Here is a 3,412-nt window from a genome sequence, read left to right on the forward strand (position 1 = left end):
TGTCCACATAACAGAAAATTATGCAGCCATCAAAAGTGAAATTTGAGGAATTTTTAGTGCCTGGGAAGCTGCTTCTGATGGATGGAAAATATCAGAGTTCAAAATGGCGGCGACAGTGTCATCAGACTCAGGTGTTGTACAAACTTCCTGGGTTCGAATTTGGACTCGCCACTGGCCGGGTGTGCATCCTAGGGTGTTACCAACCTCCCTATCCTGGTTTCTTCATTGGTTAAGTGGGAACAACAAGAGTACCAACCCCACAGGCCAAAGGGTGGCATTTAAGGGGCTCTTGATGAAAAAGCCCTGATTTGTCGCATCTAGTGACTTCGGTGGCAAATACTCCCATAATGGCCAATATCACGCTCCCAGTGACTTAACAACCTATTGACAGAATTTCTGAAAACTTAAGTCACCCTCACAAGCCAGCCAGGGCTAACTCCAGCACAGCACAGCTAGGGGCTTTGGGGATTAAATAAATACATGCTTTGAGCAATGCATAACACAAAAGATAAATAGGAGCTATCACGTCCACTGCATCCTATTTCGACACAAATTGCCAGAAAAATAAGTAAAATAAAAAGAACAATGTGTGTGCAAACCATGGTATGTGGTGGACTGAGGGTGGTGATTACAACTCTGTCCATCTGAGGTCCAAAGGATAACTTAAAATACGTGTATGGCTGGTTGGGCGTGGTGGCTCACCCCTGTAATCCCAGCACTTTGGGAGGCTGAGGCGGGTGAATCACCAGAGGTCAGGAGTTTGAGACCAATCTGGCCAACATGGTGAAACCTCATCTCTACTAAAAATACAAAAATTAGCTGGATGTGGTGGCCCGCGCCTGTCATCCCAGCTACTCAGGAGGTTGAGGCAGGAGAATCGATTGAACCTGGGAAGTGGAGGTTGCAGTGAGCTGTGATCTTGCCACTGCACTCCAGCCTGGGCAGCAGAGTGAGACTCTTGTCTCAAAAAATACATATATGGCTAAAAAGAGGTTCACTAAAATGCTGAGAGTGGTGGGATCATAGACCGTATGTGTAAGTTGGCAATTTGTCCTAGTTTTGCACAAGGAGCACATGTGATATAATCATTTAATGTCATTTAAAGGAGGGAGGAGTTCTGAAGGTGGGCGCTCTAACTCTTGGGATAGGACCAAGGGAATGAAGCCCCCAGGGGCTTGGGGAAAGGCGTGGTCATCACAGAGAGTCAGGGAGGACTGCCTGGGGTGGAGAGAGGCTGCTGAAGGGCCTGTCCCCATCAACACCCATTAGGTGACTCAGCTTTCATGACACCTTCACTCCTTCCAATCTAAAGGGGAGGCTTTTTCTTGGCACAACCTGCCTCTTAGACACAGTGAGAGGGAATCAGCCGGGCTTTCTGTCTGGGCTTGTGGGTGGTCCTGACACTGGATGTGCTGGGTTGAATAATGTCCCCCCAAAACTCATATCCATTCATATCTCAGAATGTGGCCTTATTTGGAAATAGGGTCTTTGCAGATGGGGTTGGTTAAAATGAGACCATTCTGGAGCAGGGGGGTCCTCATCCTTATGACTGGCGTCCGTATGAGAAGGGGCACTTTGAAGACAGGCACAGGGGAGAAGGCCCTGTGGCAGTGGAGGCAGAGACAGGAGCTGTGTGGCCACAGCCAGGAGCGCCAAGGCTGGCCTGGCCACCAGCAGTGGGCAGAGAGGCTGGAAGAGGTCCTCCCTTAGAGCCTCCAGAAGGAACCAGTGTTGCTGACACCTGGAGTTTGGATTTCTGGCCCCCAGAACGGTGAGAAACACACATTTCTGTTTTTAAGCTACCCAATTTGTAATGTTTGGTTATGGGGGCCCCAGGATATGAACACACTGGGCCCAGGCCAGGAAGCCCCCTAGGGTCCCCCCCGCAGGCCCCCAACTCTTTACCTTCGATCCCTTCCTGCCCTCCCTATCCTGGGGTCCTCCTTGAAGCCACCTCCACTCGAAGCCACCTCCACTTGACGCCATCCCCAGCACCCTTGGTCCTCTCCCCCTAACTGTAGTTCTCTCCCCGCCACCCCTTCCCCCAGCCCTCCGTCTCCTCCGACCCGCGCCCTGGGTCCCCTCCTCGCCCCGCCCCCGACGTCCCCGGGTCCCCTCCCCTCCTCTGCCAGCGTCTCCACCCCGCTGGCTAACGCAGGGCTGAGTCCTCACCCAGCAGCTTAGGGCCCCTCAGAACTAGAGCGGCAGGAGATTAAGGGTTGCTAATTTGGAAGCAGGGACTGATGTTCTATAAAAAGCAGGGAGGCTTTGGGATCTGTTTGGTTTTTAAGTTTCTAAGCCATTTTAGAAACTCATCCTACACACAAAATGGTGAGGTCCGGGGGATCTGTCTCTGCCTCGCCCTTTCCCCTCCGGGATCGGTCTCTTCCCCTCCCCACCTGCCTCCTGGGACCCTCCAGGAGGAGAGGGGCCTGCAGCAGGGAGAGGAGTGTCCTGTCCTGGAGGAAGAGCTGGGAGGAGAGGACCCTCCCACAGTTCTGGGTGGGAATGGTGGGAGGGTCCTAGGGCCTCTTGCGCCAGGGCAGAGGTGGAGGGGGCGTGGAGGTGGGTGAGTGGCCCCACAGCCCGTGTGCCCACCACGGCCCTGCCAACAGCCTGTGCATTTCAGAAAAGCATCATAGCCCGTGAGGTTGTGGCGTCTGTGGTCCCAGTGCTTTGGGAGGCTGAGGTGGGAGGATCACTTGAGGCCAGGAGCTCGAGGCTGCAGTGAGCTAAGATTGCGCCACTTCACTCCAGCCTAGGTGACAGAGCGAGATCCTGTCCAAAAAGAAAAGAAAAAGGCTGGGCGCGGTGGCTCACCCCTATAATCCCAGCACTTTGGGAGGGCGAGGCGGGCGGATCATGAGGTCAAGAGATGGAGACCATCCTGGCCAACATGGTGAAACTCGTCTCTACAAAAAATACAAAAATTAGCTGGGCGTGGTGGCGAGTGCCTGTAGTCCCAGCTACTCGGGAGGCTGAGGCAGGAGAATTGCTTGAACCTGGGAGGCGAGGTTGCAGTGAGCTGAGATCGTGCCATTGCACTCCGGCGTAGTAAGAGTGAGACTCTGCCTCAAAAAAAAAAAAAAAAAAAAAGAGAGAGAGAGAGGGGTGCGGGGGTTGGCGAGGGGGAAGAAAAGCTTTCTAGGAGAAGAACCCCAGGGAATGAGTCTCTCTTGTTGACATCATTGAGCCCTGGGGGAAAACATTTTGGGTGGGGGCCTTCCAGAGATGCTGTGGAAGTACCATAATACGTGCCAGGGACACACATACAGACATCTGTGCCTCTTGAAGCCGGGGTTAGCGAGGCCTGGGTTGGAAGAGCAGCACAGCTTTCTTCTGCTACAGAGGAGGCATTCAGTGCTGAAAAAGCCAGAATGTTGAAGATGGCTGTGAAATGTCATTTTACTCA

General features: G+C 53.1%; 1 annotated feature.

Moving 5' to 3' along the window:
- Positions 1,181–2,148: an enhancer, noted in NCBI's record as "H3K4me1 hESC enhancer chr5:10532633-10533600 (GRCh37/hg19 assembly coordinates)". NCBI's record gives its function as "activates a minimal SCP1, AML or CMV promoter by ChIP-STARR-seq in primed H9 embryonic stem cells {active_cell/tissue: H9 hESC(primed)}" and the evidence as "EXISTENCE:reporter gene assay evidence [ECO:0000049][PMID:30033119]".

Source organism: Homo sapiens, chromosome 5 (genome assembly GCF_000001405.40).
Source record: "Homo sapiens chromosome 5, GRCh38.p14 Primary Assembly".
NCBI lineage: Eukaryota > Metazoa > Chordata > Mammalia > Primates > Hominidae > Homo > Homo sapiens.